Raw genomic sequence first — 18,465 nt, 5'->3', positions numbered from 1 at the left:
AAGCCGAGAGAACCCACTGCTTTTAACAGGTAGTCCATAGGAGTCACTTACCTTGGCCAGTAAATGGAAATGCCCATCCTCTTTTGTCATACATAATCTTGAAGATTGTGCCAGTTTTGAATAATGTGAGATGTCAAGCATCACACTTACCCAAAATGCTACACCTCTGTAAATGGATTTAAATAAGCAGAACCATATACAACTCTCCCTGCCTTTCCTGCAGGCTCAGCGATATGAGGCAGCATCGACAATTTATGGACCGCACACATTATCTGCTTACATTCAGCTCTTCAGAAACCTTGCTAAGGCTATTGCTACGGTAATCAAATATTGTTTGTGCGTGCATGCGCGCGTGCGTGTGTGTGTGTGTGTGTGTGTATGTCTGTATGTGTCTGTGTCTGGGTAAGAAAATGCAGAGGGAAGTGAAAGAGAACCTTAGCTTCGAGTGTTCAGTTTGACAACCTTTATATTTTACAAAATTTATAGTTTTGTGGTATCTCTAAGAAAATAAATAAAATTTATTTCCAAATTTTGGATCTAGTTAACATCCTTTCATGGTGGCAGCTTCTTTCATATATATTTTCTCACTATTTTTACAACCATCATGTGAAATTAAGGAGATATCATTTCTCCCCAGTTTTCAGAGGAGCACATAGGCTTGAAGATAAGTGATGAAGCTTACTACACCTGGGAGTTGAACCTGTGTTCTCTAATCCTTGCCAGATTCTCCCCACTCACTCCAAAAGTTGAGTAGGTCAGCATTCTAGGATGCCCATTTTCCACATTATAATATCTTGGAAATTGGGATGCATTTTCCAATCAGAGGAAGCTTATTATTATAATTAGTAGCATGCTTTTACTTTCTTGGTGGTTCAAAAGATAATATGAGTTGTTAAATCAATGGAAGCTTAGATTTGATGTAAAAATAGTGGTGCCTTGGAATGAAAACATTGCATCTACCTAAAATATATACCGCTGAACAAGTTTACTTGATTTAAAGGAACTTCACTTGTGGAAATCTTCCCTTTGGATGCAGTTGTTTATGAAGCTGCAACTGTGATGTCAGAAGGTTAGTCAACAAACAAGATAAAGAGCTTAAAATAATAAGCAGCCCCTTATATAATAATATGTAAGCCTCAGTAAAAAATGTGAAACAATTGTGGCATAGCAAAGAAAATAAAGCCCTTTTAATGAAAGAGCTTGGATATATTAAGTTGAAATGAATGAAATGGTTGTCTCTGTAGGTTGCATCAATTGAACGTTGAAAATTTCATATGCCTGTATTATTAGTTACTGATTGTGTGTTTGAAATTTCAGTATTTTATATAATTTCTTTGCACATATTTTAATCAATTGATATTTATTTTCATTTTATTATAATTTTGGTCTCAGTTTTAGGTTACTTTTTTTGAATAACTGTTTGTATTTATTTATTTATTTCTATTATAAAATCCAAATCTATTTGTAGGTCATTCAGATTATACAGAAAAGCATAAAACTATAATCCATCCCTAGAGATAACTACTGTTTAACTGTCACTATGCTCATAGGTCTATAGTTCTTCCCAAGAAAATAGATTCTTCAAATTTTGTAGTGACAATGAAGAAAAATGCAATTAATTTGGTGGAAATTTGTTTTACAGTCAAATTTCTGGTCAAGCACCTTAAAACTAGCTATGTGATCTTGAAAAAAACCACTGAATATGTCTAAGCCTATTTTCTCATTTGCAAAATGGGAATGGTAATACATAACCTATCTCATATGCAGTTGTAAAGATTAAATCTATAATGTGAGGAATAAAGAGCGTTAAATATTCATTGAAAGTAATGGCAAAATGCCAATTACTTTTGTACCAACCTAATATAGATATAGGGATATTTGAAAATTGAGATTTGTATTTTTATGACACTATTAAAAATGGTAAACTTTGTGGGCAATATAGATTAAACCAGTCAGGATGTGGGATGATCTTAAATTTTAAATTAAAAATATATTTATTATATTCTTTTATTAGCACAGACAAGAATCTAGGAAAAAACTTGGTACTCACTCCAGGTGAGAGTGGCTCAATACTTTTTAAAAATTAAAATAATAATTACACTGTCATGGTATAATTACCTTTTTGCATGTTAGGCCCCTGTACAAAGTCAGACAATTTGAAAGTATGCTTCCAACCTTGTACTCTGGTCACTGTCCTTATGTTGTCTAGGGGAATGAAAGAGTTGCCTATGACCAAAACTTTCTCCCAGTGACAAGAGTTTAAATTATGAATTTCTAGGCTCATGCTTAGCAAGGCTACCTTCCTATTTTGCTCAAGGTTGTTAGCTCTTGGAGTATGTATATGTGTGTGTGCACTCTTCCATTAATGCAGGCATTTCTGGGTCTGGAGGCCTGGGGAAAGGGTCTTTGACTCTACCTGTGCACTCCTTAACAAATGCTCTCTGTTCCAGGACACGGTAGCCAACCTGAGCAGAGGTCCAGAACCTCCCTTTTTCAAACAATTAATAGTTCCATTAATTCCTAGTATTGTGGATAGAGCACCAAAAGGCAGAACTTTCGGGGATGTCCTGCAGCCAGCAAAACCTGAATACAGAGTGGTAAGACTCATGAGCAGACCTTGGAATCCTTTAGAGGGATGTTTTGGGGGATGTCACTTTGTGTCACCATTTGCCTCTAATCATGCTGTAGACCAACTGTTAGCAATGATAATTTTGACAATTGTTCTTATCTCTGCAAAAGTAATGAGAATGGGGAAATATTTATTTTTTGTAAGTAATTGTGTCAAATTGAAATTCTAAAATCCAAATTATTCCTTTTCTTAAGTGAATGATCATGGAACTATTCACTGGCACTGAGAGTTGTCTCTTAAGTCAAGGATAGGAAAAACATACAGAAATGAAGCAGAATTTGTACCATTACTATTTTATATCAATCTTGTGTCCTGAAAGCTTGCTGAATCAGTTATTAGTTTCAACAGTTTTTCTGGGGGGAGGAGGGATGAGTAAGAGGGGAGTCTGGATTCCTTAGGAATTTCTACATATAGTATCATGTCATCTGTGAATAAAAATAAGCTTATTTATTCCTTTCTATATTTCTTTTCTAAATGCACCTAATTATTTATCCTTATCGGACTGGCTAGAACCTTCAATAGAATGTTCTGCTTTTTAAAAAATTTTATTTAATTTTCTACTTGATAAATAAAAATTATATATATTTACTGTGTACAAGATGATGTTTTGAAATATGTATACATGGGGAATGGCTCAATTGAGCTAATTAACATATACATTATGTCACATATTATTTTTTGTTGTGAGAAAATTTGAGACTTTCTTAACAATTTTTAAAACACAATATGTTGTTTTTAACTGAAGCCATCAAGTTGTACAGTAGCCCTCTTGAACTTATTCCCTCTGTCTAAATGAAATTTTATATTCTTTGATCAATACCTCCCCAACCCCCTAACCTCCTAGCCCCTGGTAACTAACCTTCTGCCAACATTCTACTCTCTACTTCTATGAGTTTAACTCTTGAAGGTTCTATATATAAGTGAGATCATGTGGTATTTATCTTTCTGTACCTGGCTTATTTTACTGAATCTAATGTTCTCCAGGTTTATCCATGTTGTATCAAATGTAAGGATCTCATTCTTATTTATGACTGAATAGTATTCCATTGTGTATATGTACTACATTTTCTTTATCCATTCATCCATTGATGAACACTTAGGTTGTTTCATATCTTGGCTATTGTGAACAGTGCTGCAATAAACATGGGAGTTCACATATCTCTTCAACAAACTGATTTCATTTCCTTTCTCTATATACCCAGAAATGGTATTGTGTATATATTTTACAGTAGTTCTATTTTTAATTTTTTGAGAAACCTCTTGCTGCTTTTCATAATGGCTGCACTAATTCACATTGTCATGAACAGTGTGCAAGAGTTACCTTTTTCTACATTCTTATCAACACTTGTCTTTTGTCTTTTTAAATATTATACATTCTAACAGGTATTAGGTGATATCTTGTTGTAGTTTTAATTTGCATTTCTTCGATGATCACTGATATTGAACATTTAAAAAAATACCCTGTTGAGCATTTGTATGTCTTCTTTAGAGAAATGTTTATTCAGGTCCTTTTCTTATTTTCAAGTTGGGTCATTTGTTTTCTTGCTATAGAGTTGTTTGAGTACCTTATATCTTTTGGATATTAACTCTTTATTGGATGCATAGTTTGCAAGTGTTTTCTCCCATTCTTTAGGTTGTCTCCTCACTTTGTTAATTGTTTTTTTGGTTGTGCAGAAACTGTTTAGTTTGATGTAATATGTGTCTGTTTTTGCTTTTGTTGCTTTTGCATTAGGGGTCATATTAAAAAAAAAAAAACATCGCCTACACCAACATCATGGAGCTTTTCCTCTAGGTTTTCTTTCAGTTGTTTTATAGTTTCAGGTTTTATATTTAAATCTTTAATCAATTTTGAGTTAATTTTTATATTTCCTTCTTCTGCATGTGGATATCCAGTTTTCCCAGCAGCATTTATTGAAGAGACTGTCACTTCCCCATTGTGCGTTCTTGGCACCTTTGTCAAAAATCAATTTATCATAAATGTGCGGGCTTATTTCTGGGCTCCATTGGTCTATGTGTACCAATGGTGTGTTGATTACTTTAGGCCAGTACCATGCTGTGTTGATTACTATAGCTTTGTAGTATATTTTGAAGTCAGGTTGTGTGGTACCTTCATCTTTGTTTTTTTTGCTGAAGATCCAATCCAATGTCAAATAGAAGTTGTGAGACTGGACACTCTTGTCTTGTTTCCAATCGTAGTAGAAAAGTATTCAGTTTTTCACCATTTAGTATGATGTTTTCTTTAGGATTTTTTGTAGATTCTCTTTTTCATGTTTTATGCCTAGCTTATTGCAAGTTTTTGTCAGAAATCAGTGTTGGAGTTTTGCAATTTTTTTTCTACTGAGGTGACAATGTGGTTTTGTCTTTTGTTATTTTAATAAGGTATTTACATTCATTGGTTTTCAGATGTTAAATAAATGCCGTATCATTTAGTCATGGTGTATAATCCTTTTTAGATGTTGCTGAATTTGATTTGCTGATATATTGTAGAGTTTTCTACTCATGTCCATGAGGGATATTTTTAGTTTTCTTTTTATGTGTTGTCTTTGCCTTTGGTATTGGGGCAATAGTGCTTTCAAAGAATGAGTTGGGAAATGTTTTCTCTTGTACTTTCTGAAAAAGTATCCAAAAGATTGGCATTATTTACTCTTTAAATATTTGATTGGATTGACCAGCAAGGCCATATGGACCTGGCTTTTCTTTATGGCAAAATTTTTATTACTAATTCAATTTCTTTACTTGTTATATGACCATTCATATGTCCTATTTTTTTCCTTGCATCAATTTTGTGTCTTTCTAGGAATTTATCTTTATAGGAATTGGTATCATTCTAGGAATTTTCTCATTTCATATAAGTTGTTTAATTTGTTGGTGTAATATAAAAGTTGTTGTTGCTCATGATAATCCCCTGTAATCCTTTTAATTTCTGAAGAGTTGACAATGATATCCCCTCTTTCTTTCTAATTTTGGTAATTTGTGTCCTCAAAGAACTAGCATTTAGTTTTATTGCTTTTACCTATTGCATTACCTATTACTAAATTTTTTAGGCAGGACCAGAGCAGATTTTCATCTTGAGCAAATCCCTTCCTCACTTCCCCCAGCACCCCTCATCCCCTCACACACTAATGTAAAATTCTTTTGAATTATGAGGTTTTCCAGTCTGGCCTGGTGGGAACAGAATCTTGTCACAACTCTCTATGAGCCTGGGGACTGTTCTCTGTAATTCTGTTAGCCCATTCTTTTCTTGGCTTCCAGTAGTTCCCTTATATGCATGCAAACTTGAGGGGAGCTTTCTGCAAATCTCCAGATTTCTGTCTCTGTGCAGCTATCCTCTCTATGATGCTCTGTGCTATAAACTCAAGACTGTTTGGCTTTTGTGGACACCCAGCTCCATATCCTCAACTTAGACTGCCAGACTTGGCCTGAATTCTCCTCCTTCTGCCGTGGCCCGTAAACTCTGATGACATTGAGCTGGTGGATTACAGGGTTCTTGTTTGTCTGCTGCCACTCAAATATCACTGTCTTTCTTTGTCACTTGAAAATCCATTGTTTAATATATATTTTTTCCAGTTTTTTAGTCGTTTCAGGGGGGAGGATAAATACACATCCTGCCACTCCATCTCTTATAAAAATAAAAGCTTAAGTATAAATGTAAGCATAAATATGAGTCATCTGTGGAAAGTTTTGACTGTTCTAATTTGATTCAAATATTCCCTGTATTTGTGTTGGGAGGGAGGTGTGAGGAATTATCAAGGCCTGAAGAAGCCATTTTAATATGCTGTCACTAATATAAACTACAGCTCTAGATCTTCACTTGTATCTGAGTCTACCAAAAGCAAACTCATTGGCCAAACATTCCTATGTCTATTGTTGCAAGGGTTAATATTCTTAGAAGATAACTTACTTGATTAAATAGAACAAAATCTATAAAGGCACCCTAAATTATAGAATTTATAATAAATAATGTCCAAAATATGAGTATAGCAAAAAAACCGTTTATTAGAAATCATTAAATGAATTTTTACTTTCAGGGGGAAGTTGCTGAAGTTATATTTGTAGGTGCTAACCCGAAGAATTCAGTACAAAACCAGGTAGGTATCAATGATTTTCTTTTACAAATGTAAATCCACTTTTTAGCCATTCATTCATTTAAATATCCCTCTAGAGGTTAATAACATAAAGACAAAATGTTCCAACTTGTTTTCCATCTTATTTTGTAGGTACGGGAAAATATTCAATAGGTAGTTAATGTGGATTGAGTCTGGGTAAAAGCACACAGGAAACATATAATTGGCTCCACTTAGGACCAAGTATAGCATAATGCATGTATGACTGCATTGTCTGTCAAGAAGATGTTAAGTTGAATACAATCCCATATATATAATTATGCACCACATACAATGATGTTTCAGTCAAAGATGAACTGCATTTATGACATTGGTCCCGTGAGATTATAATACTCTACTTTTACTGTACCTTTTCTACGTTTAGGTATGTTTAGATACACAAATACTTACCATTGTGTTACAATTGCCTACAACATTCAATACAGTAACGGGCTGTACAAATTTGTAGCCTAGGAGCCACGGGCTATACCATATAGCCTAGGTAGGAGGTTACACCATCTAAGTTTGTGTAAGTCTAAGTCTGTGATGCTCATACAATGATGAATTTGCCTAACAATGCACTTCTCAGGATGTATCCGATATATGACTGTATTCAAATATATAGAACTCTACCAAATGTTGTGAAATAGTCAAAGGGCCAACTGAAGGATGTGTGTCTTTGGCTTCTTCTTCTCTTTTTGGCTCTCTCCTCCTCCTCTACACTACTATCTCTGGTCCTACCTGTACTGTTGTGGAACGGTCACAGATCCCCAGGTGTATACTCTCCTGGCTTGGAGTCCTGGTGCATGTGCTTTACTTTATCTTGCATTGGCCATTTCCCTATTATTTACTACTGGTGCTAATAGAGCATTTATTTATTAAACCTAAAAAATGACATTCAAAATACATGCCCAATGTTAAAACAATATAGAAGTGTAGAAAATAGAATATATAAGTGCTCTTCTACCCACAAACCTGCTTTCCAGAGGTAATAGCTGTTAAGAGTTTTTTAATAAAGCATTTTAGACTTTTTTGTTTTTATCATATGTATGATAAACTATATACATATGTAATATATCTATTAATAAAATTAATGTATACTTGTATAACTTCCTTAAAATATACTTATAACTACACAAGCAGTAACTGGACACATTCTAGTTGTAAAACCTCAAATAATAAAGGAATTTATAGTGGAAAAAGAGTGGGCATATGACTGTGATTTCGAGGTCATGGTTTTCACTGTGGCTGAGGATGCATTCCTTATATCAATTAGCTGTTCTTCCCAGGGCCTATAGTCACTTATAATCCAAAAATACCTTCCTTCCAAAAGAACCTTCCCATTCCTGTTTTTAAAATGTCATTATTGCCAAGATAACAATTGTGGCAATATGACATTCTCAAATATGACATTGGAGGAAAGTCTTCTACTTCTTAGGTAGTCAATATGCACCTGTTTGAAGTAATTTCTTTAGTAAGTGAATCTGTGCCACAATAGTTACGTGTTCATAACATTATTTTCTGAAGATATCAAAGTGTTATATCAAAACTGCATGTTTAGCTGTCACCTGATATCCCTAGGGTAGAGAAATTCTATCATCATTATTGCCATGGAGAAGCAGGAGAACAAAACCTTTAAACTACTATAGTGGTAATAGAATTAATTTCAAAGAATGCTCTGGGACTTGGTATAAAACAATTTCTATCACCCTTCTTCATTAGTAGTTATCATCACTATTTATGGAATGCTTACTATTTTGCAGGTAGTATTTGCAAGTATTCCTATTAAAGTGCTTTATATGCATTATCACATGATTAATTCCATCCTTACGACTACCCAATGAGTTAAGTTTTATTACCCTTACTTTCCAGATGAATAAACTGAGGCCTAGAGAGATAAAGTAACTTATATTATGCATAATTAATGTATGCAGTACCTAATTATGCATCTGGAAGAGATTACGGTAGAGCAGTTGGGAAAAGATTGTCATATGTTTTATCCCTGGTATTCAGAGGCCTAGACTTGTTCTTCAGTCTCTACTCTAGACATATTCAAAAAGCCCACCATATCTTCTCCATCTAAGGCCTTCCCAATGTCATTTGCCATAAATAGACAGAAATAACTCTCTTTACAAGTTCCTATGGTTATGAAAACTTCCTTATTGAATGTAATTCATCAGTTGAATACTTAAAGGAGAATTTTAAACAATTACATGGCCCACATGTAAATAGGTGATACATTTAGCAAGGGGTTATTTGAGCACCAGTAAATGACAGATGTAAAGAACTGTGATAAATATAAGTGAATTAGACATGTACCTTTTAGGGTCACAATCTCAAGGATTTAAAAGGATACTAGAAATGTATAGCCTTTGTCTTTATTAACTTGTCATATCATTCAAATCTGTGCTTTGTTTGAAGCTGAATTCTTGGTCTGAAACAAATTCTTCTATTATAATAATCTTCCAATGGGGAAATAAAATCTTTTTATGATGTGGTTTCTAGAAATCTATTATAAAAAATCTAAAGACCTCCTTTAGTACCCCAGGATAGGGAAGATTTATGTATTCTTTTCAATTCTTTCACTCAGGGAGGTACGTTAACTAATAATTCATTCACCTGGAGATGGAAAGTAGACTAAACTTTACCATTTTCCCTTCTAACTTTTGAGGTGACTAGAGAAAGTCTTGGGATATATAGATCAATAAACATATCATGAAAAGGCTTGACTTATACCTTTTTAAAATCTCAGGTAAGTTTTATTCCCAGCCTCTTTTCTGCCCTAATTTCCAAAATTTGCTACTAACTCTAAAATTACACTTCTTTCACATTTCTAAAAAAATCATGTTTTTTAATAGACTGGATAAATTAACATTCTGAGTACATTGCATAGAATGTTAAGAGGAAAGCCTAAGAATTTGGATGAAATTCTAACACATTTTCACACAAGGTATTGGTAGGCTAACATATGGTCAACAAGGGGAGTATTTACAAACAGGTTCCTTCTGTGACTGTGCAGTACCTGATCAGGTTTATTAATTGCATTTCAGACCCATCAGACCTTCCTCACTGTGGAGAAATATGAGGCTACTTCAACATCGTGGCAGATAGTGTGTAATGATGCCTCCTGGGAGACTCGGTGAGCACATTTATTGAATATTTTTGTCTTTCAAGCTTCGAAACCAGTTGGCTTGTAATGCTGGGAAGACAAATGAAAAGACTGGCTCAGTACAAGGTATTAATGATATCAAATTCCCAAGGAGGTTTCTGGACATATTTAGTTGATTTATTAGATTTCATTTTGATTCATTTTTCTGCAAAACAGTGTGGTGTGTGCTTCTGTAAGATTAGGTGCTAATGAGGTTATGGCTTCCATTCTTACAGACATCTGTTCTGTTTTTTTTCCCCATGGACACAGGTATTATTTGTAAAATCTAACTAGCTTCCTTGCAAATTGGTTGAAAGGAGTATAGAGTAAAAGTGTTGAGATGTCTCTGTAGAGCTTGATATTTCTATAGGGAAAATGAGTCTATACCTGACATGTATTGCATGTTTGTATATGATCAATGATTCTTCATTTGAGTTACTAAAACACTAGAAGCTTGGGTGTTTAACTCTTAATGACTTGAGTGAGGAGATAATATATTCAGGCAATTTCTCCGGAGAGACATATCTCTTTGCCTTTTGCTACCAAATTCCTGAGTTGAATAGATATTTTGAAGATTTGATAATGTGTCTGAAATAAGACAATACTTCTGTTCCCAAGTCTATAAATTTAACATTCCATGACAGTGGCATGGAAGTAGGTACAGTTTTTGGCAATTTGGGTCTAATTCAGATTGCCTCAAACTAAGTGATATTAGTTTGTTAAATGTAAATATGTTAGTATGGTTCAGATGGTTAATTGAAAATAGGAATTTGACCATGGCCCATATACAAATATGGGCAAAATTTTTCTTTGGTATTTAGAGCTGTAGAGTATAGGTACATTTTAAAACAAGTAATGTATATTTATCGTTGAAAAGGTTATACAGGTAATAAAAAGAATGATTTATATTTAAATGCTCAAAGTTTTTAGCTAATAGCAGTCAATACTGAGGATATGTTTAGATCTCTGCCTTGTTCATTAGCAGCAGAATAATCAAATATTTGTTGAGAGTACTGAACCCATCACTGAGAAACACAGAATGTCGAGCACACTCTCTGTGCCCAAGAGATTTACTTTCAGCATAACTGAGGATATCAGTTAGCCCGTTGTATCTCACTGAGTCTAGAAGAGTGTCTGAACTCTCTGCTGTGATCTGCAGGGGCCAACATGATCTGGTTCCACCTGTTTCTCTCATCTCAAGCACTCTTCCATGGTTTACCATTCCCTGTACCAACTGACCTGCTTTCTGCTTTGTGGCCACATCAAGTTTGTTCCTGCTTTGGACACTTTGTATTTTCTGTTCCTTCTTGTTAGAATGTTTTTTCCTCCAGATTTCTGCAGACTCAGTTTAAATGACATCTCCCTAAAAAACTTCCATCTTGTTTTCTACACTAAACTTGTCATTCTTAAGATTTTTATATTTATTGCTTTTTGTTTATTGCATTTATTTCCATCTTCAACTCAGTAGAACATAAGCTTCATGAAACTTGGGACCATATCTATCTTGCTCCTTACTGTACCCTCAGTACTTCTAGAAGAGAGTCTGACATGTATTCATTTTCTATATATATATATACATATATATATATATATACACACACACATATATATATAGAAAACAAATGAATCTAGATGTGAAAATAAGTGTCAGATAAGGGCTAAAAGAGTGCTTTGCAATTCTACAGCAGGAGAGACATCTTGTGGCTATCAGGTAAGGTTTCCTGGGGTGAGTATAATTTAGGTAGGTAGAAAGGTAGAACAAGTAAAGCTGTTTCTACAAATTGCTGTTCTTTAAAGTTTCTCTTCTAGAAAATAGACGTTTTTGTCTGTTTTGTTCATTGCTGTATCTTCAATGTCTTGATAGTGCCTTGCTCATTGTAGGTATTCTCTGAATATTCATTAAATGAATAATCATGTATTTTTCTAATTAAACATTTTTAAGAGTAAAATTGAGTTTTGCTTGCTTGTTTGTTTTTTATCAACAGTTTTTATTGGCACAAGGGACTCCTGGGTCTGAGTAATGCAACAGTGGAATGGCATATTCCAGACACTGCCCAGCCTGGAATCTACAGAATAAGATATTTTGGACACAATCGGAAGCAGGACATTCTGAAGCCTGCTGTCATACTTTCATTTGAAGGCACTTCCCCGGCTTTTGAAGTTGTAACTATTTAGTGAAAAGTTGATAGATCATTTAAAGAACAGCTTTACTCTCTACACATTATATAAGTGATTTCAAATGAATGTGAACTAGTGAACTACCATGTTGACTTCTATAATCGTCCCTGTTTGGGGACAGATAGTTTACTGCTAATGGGGTGGAGGGGTGTGTGTGTGTGTGTGTGTGTGTGTGTGTGTGTGTGTGTGTGTGAGAGAGAGAGAGAGAGAGAGAGAGAGAGAGAGAGGTTTGTCCCATATATCTTGCTCCAGCAGCCATATATCTTGTGGTCTACAGCCTAAAGCATGATTTCCCTTGAAGTCTTGGGGTTGTTTAAAGGAGAGTCCCTTCAATATAAAACCTCTGAAATATTAGTGAGAATGGCTCACTAATGTGAACAATGTTTAAATTATTTATTTATATATAGAATTACTGAATATTAGTACTGGGAAAATTTATAGAAATCATCTAGTCTTACCCTTCATCTTACATATAAGAAAAATGGTCTTTTCTTCTAATCACATTTACAAAATATGATATAAACCTTGACCATGAATGTATGAGCCTAATTAGAGAAACAGAAAATCAGCATGTCAGTTTTCCTTCATTCAAAATAACATAGTCTTTCTAAGCAGTCATTCTGGAGTTAACATGCCTAGTTCAGAGCCGCTGTGGATGCTCAAATCATTTCTGGAATTGCCTTCAGGACACAATTATGAGAAAGTCAGACTTCCAATATTTTGATCATGCCTTGTGTTTTCCTAAGTGTCCTTATCCCACTGGATTGTGTCTCTTACTCCCAAGACTTATTCCAAATGATTTTTTGACTCTTTTCATTAATCAAATTCACCCCAAACCAGAAAGTTTTGCCATTAGTGTAGATATTAAAAATATTACTGGCTGGGAAAGCACTCCTCAAAGCAGAGGTTCTAAATTAATTTATCTGTTCTTTTACCATTTGCTCACTCACTCACTCATGGACCCATTCAATCATAGAATATTTAAGATTTATATGCCCAGAATTATAATAGTGCCTAGGCCTTGATAATTAGTGAATTTGTACTTGGGGTGAATGTGTAAGTGTCAAAAGGTAACTATTATGAAGGAGAAAATAATCGATTTAATATGTAAATTCTGGGGAAGCATTTAAAAAATCAGTAATCTTCAAGTTATATCTTGTGTATCATCTGTGTTGGATACTCTAATTTGGGGGGAAAGAGGCTCCAGACAGTTTGCTAAATACTATTTTGAAAGTTATTTTTGGGCATTGTAAAATACCTTGCTTCATACCCCAAAGAATAAGATATGACAGTCTGACATCGATTGTCTGAAAGTACTAATTGCATTTAAAATTCTTTAAGTTAACTACAACCTCCCAGACTGCAAAGCAAATTTCCAAACCCCAGGTCATACTTTTGTATGTATGTAAAAGCTTTAGCATTTTAGGGAAAAAAATCAATCTGTATTTTAAAAATAAACTTTGAGGTTTGAAAATAATAACAATATTCATAATGGTAGTATTAACATCTATTATGTATAACTTAATCTCAACATAATTTATTGAATTAGAATGAACCTGGAACACTTTTTGATGAATTGGTATCCTAGAGGCTGTTTCCTTGGGCATTAACTGCTGGAGGATTAGGTAATCAGGGATTCCAAGTGTTGTGATCTTTTTTCTGATGATGCCACAGTCTTCAGTGTAAAAGTTCAGAAGCCTAAAAGAACAAGTGATCCTGAAAGTAGCTGATTCCAGACAAGAAAATTATATTAGAACTTATGATATGGTTTTTTAAAGTATTTGTTATTACTCAGAAGGGTTCATGAATCAGTTTCCACTACCTCTATTCCTTCTATTGAAGCTTTCCTCAAATCTACTTGTGATTCCTGATAGCTCACTGGCAACTGTACCAAGGTGGCCACTGTATCATCTACTGATCCTACTGCACCTAGCACTCTTGGCTCCAGATAACGCACAGAAACCTATTTTCTCACCAGCTGTCATTTCTTCTAGGGCATGCAGTTCTATGTTCGCAGTTCATGTGTAAAAATAAAACCAAATTCCTGGATTATCAATATCAGTTCTTTACCTGTGCATAAAAGAATATCATGAAGTAATTGAACTTATCTGTTGATATAAAAACACAGATCCAATTCATGTCTGTGGATGCTGCAGGGACTGGCTCACTGGAGCCAAACCATGTGGCAGAAACTCCTGAAATTGGTGGAAAAAGTGGAATATGGCAGATTGGGTAGGTAGGAGAACAATTTTGGAGATTTTGTTTCTCATGTTAAAATGTCTGCATTTTATTTGCTGTACCCTGCCTACTCTGGTTTTAAGGATTTTTTGACTTCTTTGAAAAGCACTGAATAATCTCTTTTCCAGGTCTAGATTTTTTGATGAGTACTGTGTAAAATTGTCAATATTCAATGGATTATTTAATAATAAATTAAGAATTACACTCATAAAAGTATTGTCTAATGAAAGGTAATGTAGACAAACGAACACTTTTTTAAAAAAAGAGGTGGAACAAAAGGTGGTAGATTACATGTAAGTTAGGTTGGAAAGTGATACAAATGACTTGTAAATAACCACTGAAGCACAAGGGAACCACTTCTTTATCAGTTCCTTTCTAACTTCTGAAGATGTACTGCTGGTAAAACACATGTATGGTTGACAATTCTTTTATTTTCTTTCTCTTTTTTACTAGTTGGGCAAAAAAATTTCCTAGGCAGGTAGCTAACTATGAAATTGTTTCATGCGCTAATTCTGAACAAAAAGACCAAGAATGAATTTACTTATGAATGTCCTTTTCTAATGTGCCCTCTTATGCTTCTCCTCCAATGTAAGCAAGCTTACTGTCTTTTTCTAAGATTAGCGCATGGATTCTATCTTTAGCCAAAAGGTTTCATCACTAGATGAACTTCTCATGTGTTTAGTTCTTCCAAATGATGCTCTTGCTTCCTGGGTATCCAACCTGACTTGCTGGTTTATATTGGCTTCCAAAATTTTAGAGTGATAGGGTATCGGAGAGGGAAATTTGCACATTCCTTATGCAATTTGTTAGTATGCATTCAGCTGTAACTCAGAAAATATTCCTGATCAACATCCATCCAAACACTAAAGACATTTATAACCTCACATAGCAGTAAGTCTTGAAGTGATAAATTCAGGTTTGGTGCAGCCACTCAGTGGCTCTTCTTAATATATTGACTTAATTCTTAGGCTTATCCTCTTAGCTAAAAGATCGCTACCTCAAGTCTACATATAATTGAATGCAGCAGCAAAATGGGAGGAGAGAGTTCTCTTTATAATCCCCTTTTAGAAGGTGGAAAATAGTAAGAACACAAGTTGAATTTTCCTTCTATTTCTTTGTTCAGAACTGTGCCACACAGCTACTCTTACCTGCAAGGGAAGCTGGAAAAAAGAATATTTAGTATTTTGTGCTTCTAGAGAGTGAGGCAAGTTCTGATAGTAAGAAAGAAGAGATAGCCGAAGTAGCTGTCATAAAATTATGTTAGTCAAGACAGATTAGTTATGCTACAACATTAGAGATTTATTTCTTGATCTCATGACCTGTCCATTGGGGTTAGCTGAAGGATCTGTTCCACATCTCATTTGAGTTCACAGGCTGACAGAGACTTCCATTCTAAACATTCTTCCATTGTGAGGGAACAGGAACAGGTGCTTCCATGATTAGGGGGAAGGGACAGGGAGAATCATGCAATAGTTCGTGAAGCTTCCACATTACTGTGCATTTTTCACTGGGCAGGTGACAGAACCAGGATATTTGCAAGCAGCCCTAAAGGTTACCACAGTGGGCAAGCAATAATATCTGCATATCCAAATTAACTGCTCTTTGAAATAATTAGAACTCGTTTTACTCTAGAAAATATATTTTGGAAAAGAACACACATTGGAATAATGACGAAAAAAATTGCTTTCTGTATTGCAAAATGTATACGTTACTTTAACAGATTTATATCAAGCACCTATATACTTTATGGCAGAAATTATGCTAAATCCTAAGAATGAAACAATAATGAAGGCAAAGCTATTCCCTGCCAAAAGGAACTTAGCGTTTAACGAACAAAGCAAACAGATGAACAGGTAATTACTGTACAGAGTGACCCATATTGTTATTGTTCAGGGAATTAGAGAGGGCACCTAATATGGTCTTGGGGATGTTTCAGTAAGTTTCCTGGAAGAAATAACATATAAGCTAAGACTTAAAAGACATGTAGAAATTAGCTAGAAGAAAGGCAATGGTGTGTGCATGTATGTGTGTATTAGTGTGTGTTTGTGTTTGTGTACTGGGCAAATAGACTATTCCATGTAGAGGGAATATTGAGTACTTTATCAAGACTATAGTTAGAGTATAAGGAAAGAGTTGACAGTGAGGCAGCACCAAACTTTACCTTCATAAATAGCAATTTGGTTTTATACTTGTATTAGCATTTTTCCCCCTTGAGACTCTTCCCCTATAACATCAATGTCCTTGAATGTATTTGCCATTTGCTCTAATAATAAAATACACTTTCTATAACCAAAAACTTACCTTGACTCCCAGTTTCCAGTACCACTTAGTGTCATCCTTCTGTCTTCAGGGCTATAAACCTGTCCATAGACAAACCCATGGAATTGAATTTATTAAGAGACTTCTTTTGCTTATGTCAATTTCATATTTCCAAATCTATGATTTCTTTTGTTTTTTGTTTGTTTGTTTGTTGTACCTGCTAAAATGGCAAGTATAACCAATGAAGACCATTCTCTCCCTTTAGATAGGGTTCAGAGTTCCAGCCTTACGAGTTCATAAATACTTGTGAATACTAAAAATTTGAGCCACCCTCATAAAATTCAAAGCATCTTGGCCTGCATACTGCCAAGTTATCAGGGACCCAGCTTCGGTTAGTCCTATTTCTGGATTTTTTTACCATAATGAAAAATTAGAAGCCTAGGGGTATGGGGTCAATACTAGCTAGAGGAGAATAGAAGATCTACTATCCCTGTCTGAAATCAGGTATCTGGAAACATTGACTTGATCATTTTCTCTGTCTCATTGTATTTTTCATATTCAGTATAAAAGATTTACCCTTTTTTTCCAGACCAAAATAAGCTAAAAGGACAAAAGAACTTAATAATCCAGCAATTGCAAGCTTAGGACAAAGTCCAACCACATCCCCTAAATGGCCAAGGGACAGTGGTGATAACATGGAGAAAGACACCCTTAAGTGGAATTTCAAGAAACTAGTATCTGTGATTTTATAAAGTTGATTCCACTATCATGAGGAGAATACAACCTCTGGAAGGCTTTCCTACACTGTGGACTGTATTGTGCTGACTTGTTGCCTGTCTCTTCTCAGTTTCTCTTAATGTCAATAATCCACGAATGCAAGAAATTTCACAGGGACTGGAACTTCATTTATAACTGAGGAACATAAATAGGAAGTTGTATAAAGAAAAGAAAGAACTCTACACACTGCTTTAAATGTGTCCCAGAGATTCTGGTATGTTGTGGCTTTGTTCTCATTGGTTTCAAAGAATGTCTTTATTTCTGCCTTCATTTTGTTATGTACCCAGTAGTCATTCAGGAGCAGGTTGTTCAGTTTCCATGTAGTTGAGCGGTTTTGAAATTTATAGCACTAAATGCCCTCAAGAGAAAGCAGGAAAGATCTAAAATTGACACACTGACATCACAATTAAAAGAACTGGAGAAGCAAGAGCAAACACATTCAAAAGCTAACAGAAGGCAAGAAATAAATAAGATCAGAGCAGAGCTGAAGGAAAATAGAGACACAAAAAACCCTTCAAAAAAATCAATGAATCCAGGAGCTGGTTTTCTGAAAAGATCAACAAAATTGATAGATTGCTAGCAAGACTAGTAAAGAAGAAAAGAGAGAAGAATCAACTAGATGCTATAAAAAAATGATAAAGGGGATATCACCACCAATACCAAAGAAGTACAAACTACCATCAGAGAATACTACAAACACCTCTACGCAAATAAACTAGAAAATCTAGAAGAAATGGATAAATTCCTGGACACATACACTCTCCCAAGACTAAACCTGGAAGAAGTTGAATCCCTGAATAGACCAATAACAGGCTCTGAAATTGAGGCAAAAATTAATAGCTTACCAACCAAAAAAAGTCCAGGACAAGATGGATTCACAGCCGAATTCTACCAGAGGTACAAGGAGGAGCTGGTACCATTCCTTCTGAAACTATTCCAATAAATAGAAAAAGAGGGAATCCTCCTTAACTCATTTTATGAGGCCAGCATCATCCTGATACCAAAGCCTGGCAGAGACACAACAAAAAAAGAGAATTTTTGACCAATATCCTTGATGAACATCGATGTAAAAATCCTCAGTAAAATACTGGCAAACCGAATCCAGCAGCACATCAAAAAGCTTATCCACCATG

General features: G+C 34.8%; 1 protein-coding gene across 2 annotated transcripts in view; it reads left to right on the top strand.

The window, feature by feature from the left end:
• Positions 1-14,509, top strand: part of ASAH2 (N-acylsphingosine amidohydrolase 2) — a 66,656-nt gene extending 52,147 nt beyond the window's left edge. For both annotated transcript variants that reach the window (NM_001143974.3, NM_019893.4), the window contains 5 exons: positions 224-319; positions 2,451-2,597; positions 6,658-6,717; positions 9,783-9,871; positions 11,866-14,509. In NM_001143974.3, coding sequence (NP_001137446.1) covers positions 224-319; positions 2,451-2,597; positions 6,658-6,717; positions 9,783-9,871; positions 11,866-12,055 — 582 coding nt within the window. In that variant the 3' untranslated portion in view covers positions 12,056-14,509. The remainder of the gene's footprint in view (positions 1-223; positions 320-2,450; positions 2,598-6,657; positions 6,718-9,782; positions 9,872-11,865) is intronic.
• The last annotated feature ends 3,956 nt before the right edge of the window (positions 14,510-18,465 follow it).

The sequence above is a fragment of the Homo sapiens genome, chromosome 10, assembly GCF_000001405.40.
Source record: "Homo sapiens chromosome 10, GRCh38.p14 Primary Assembly".
Lineage (NCBI taxonomy): Eukaryota > Metazoa > Chordata > Mammalia > Primates > Hominidae > Homo > Homo sapiens.
Note: the sequence above shows the minus strand (reverse complement) of the source record. Positions and strands in the feature narration are given on the sequence as shown.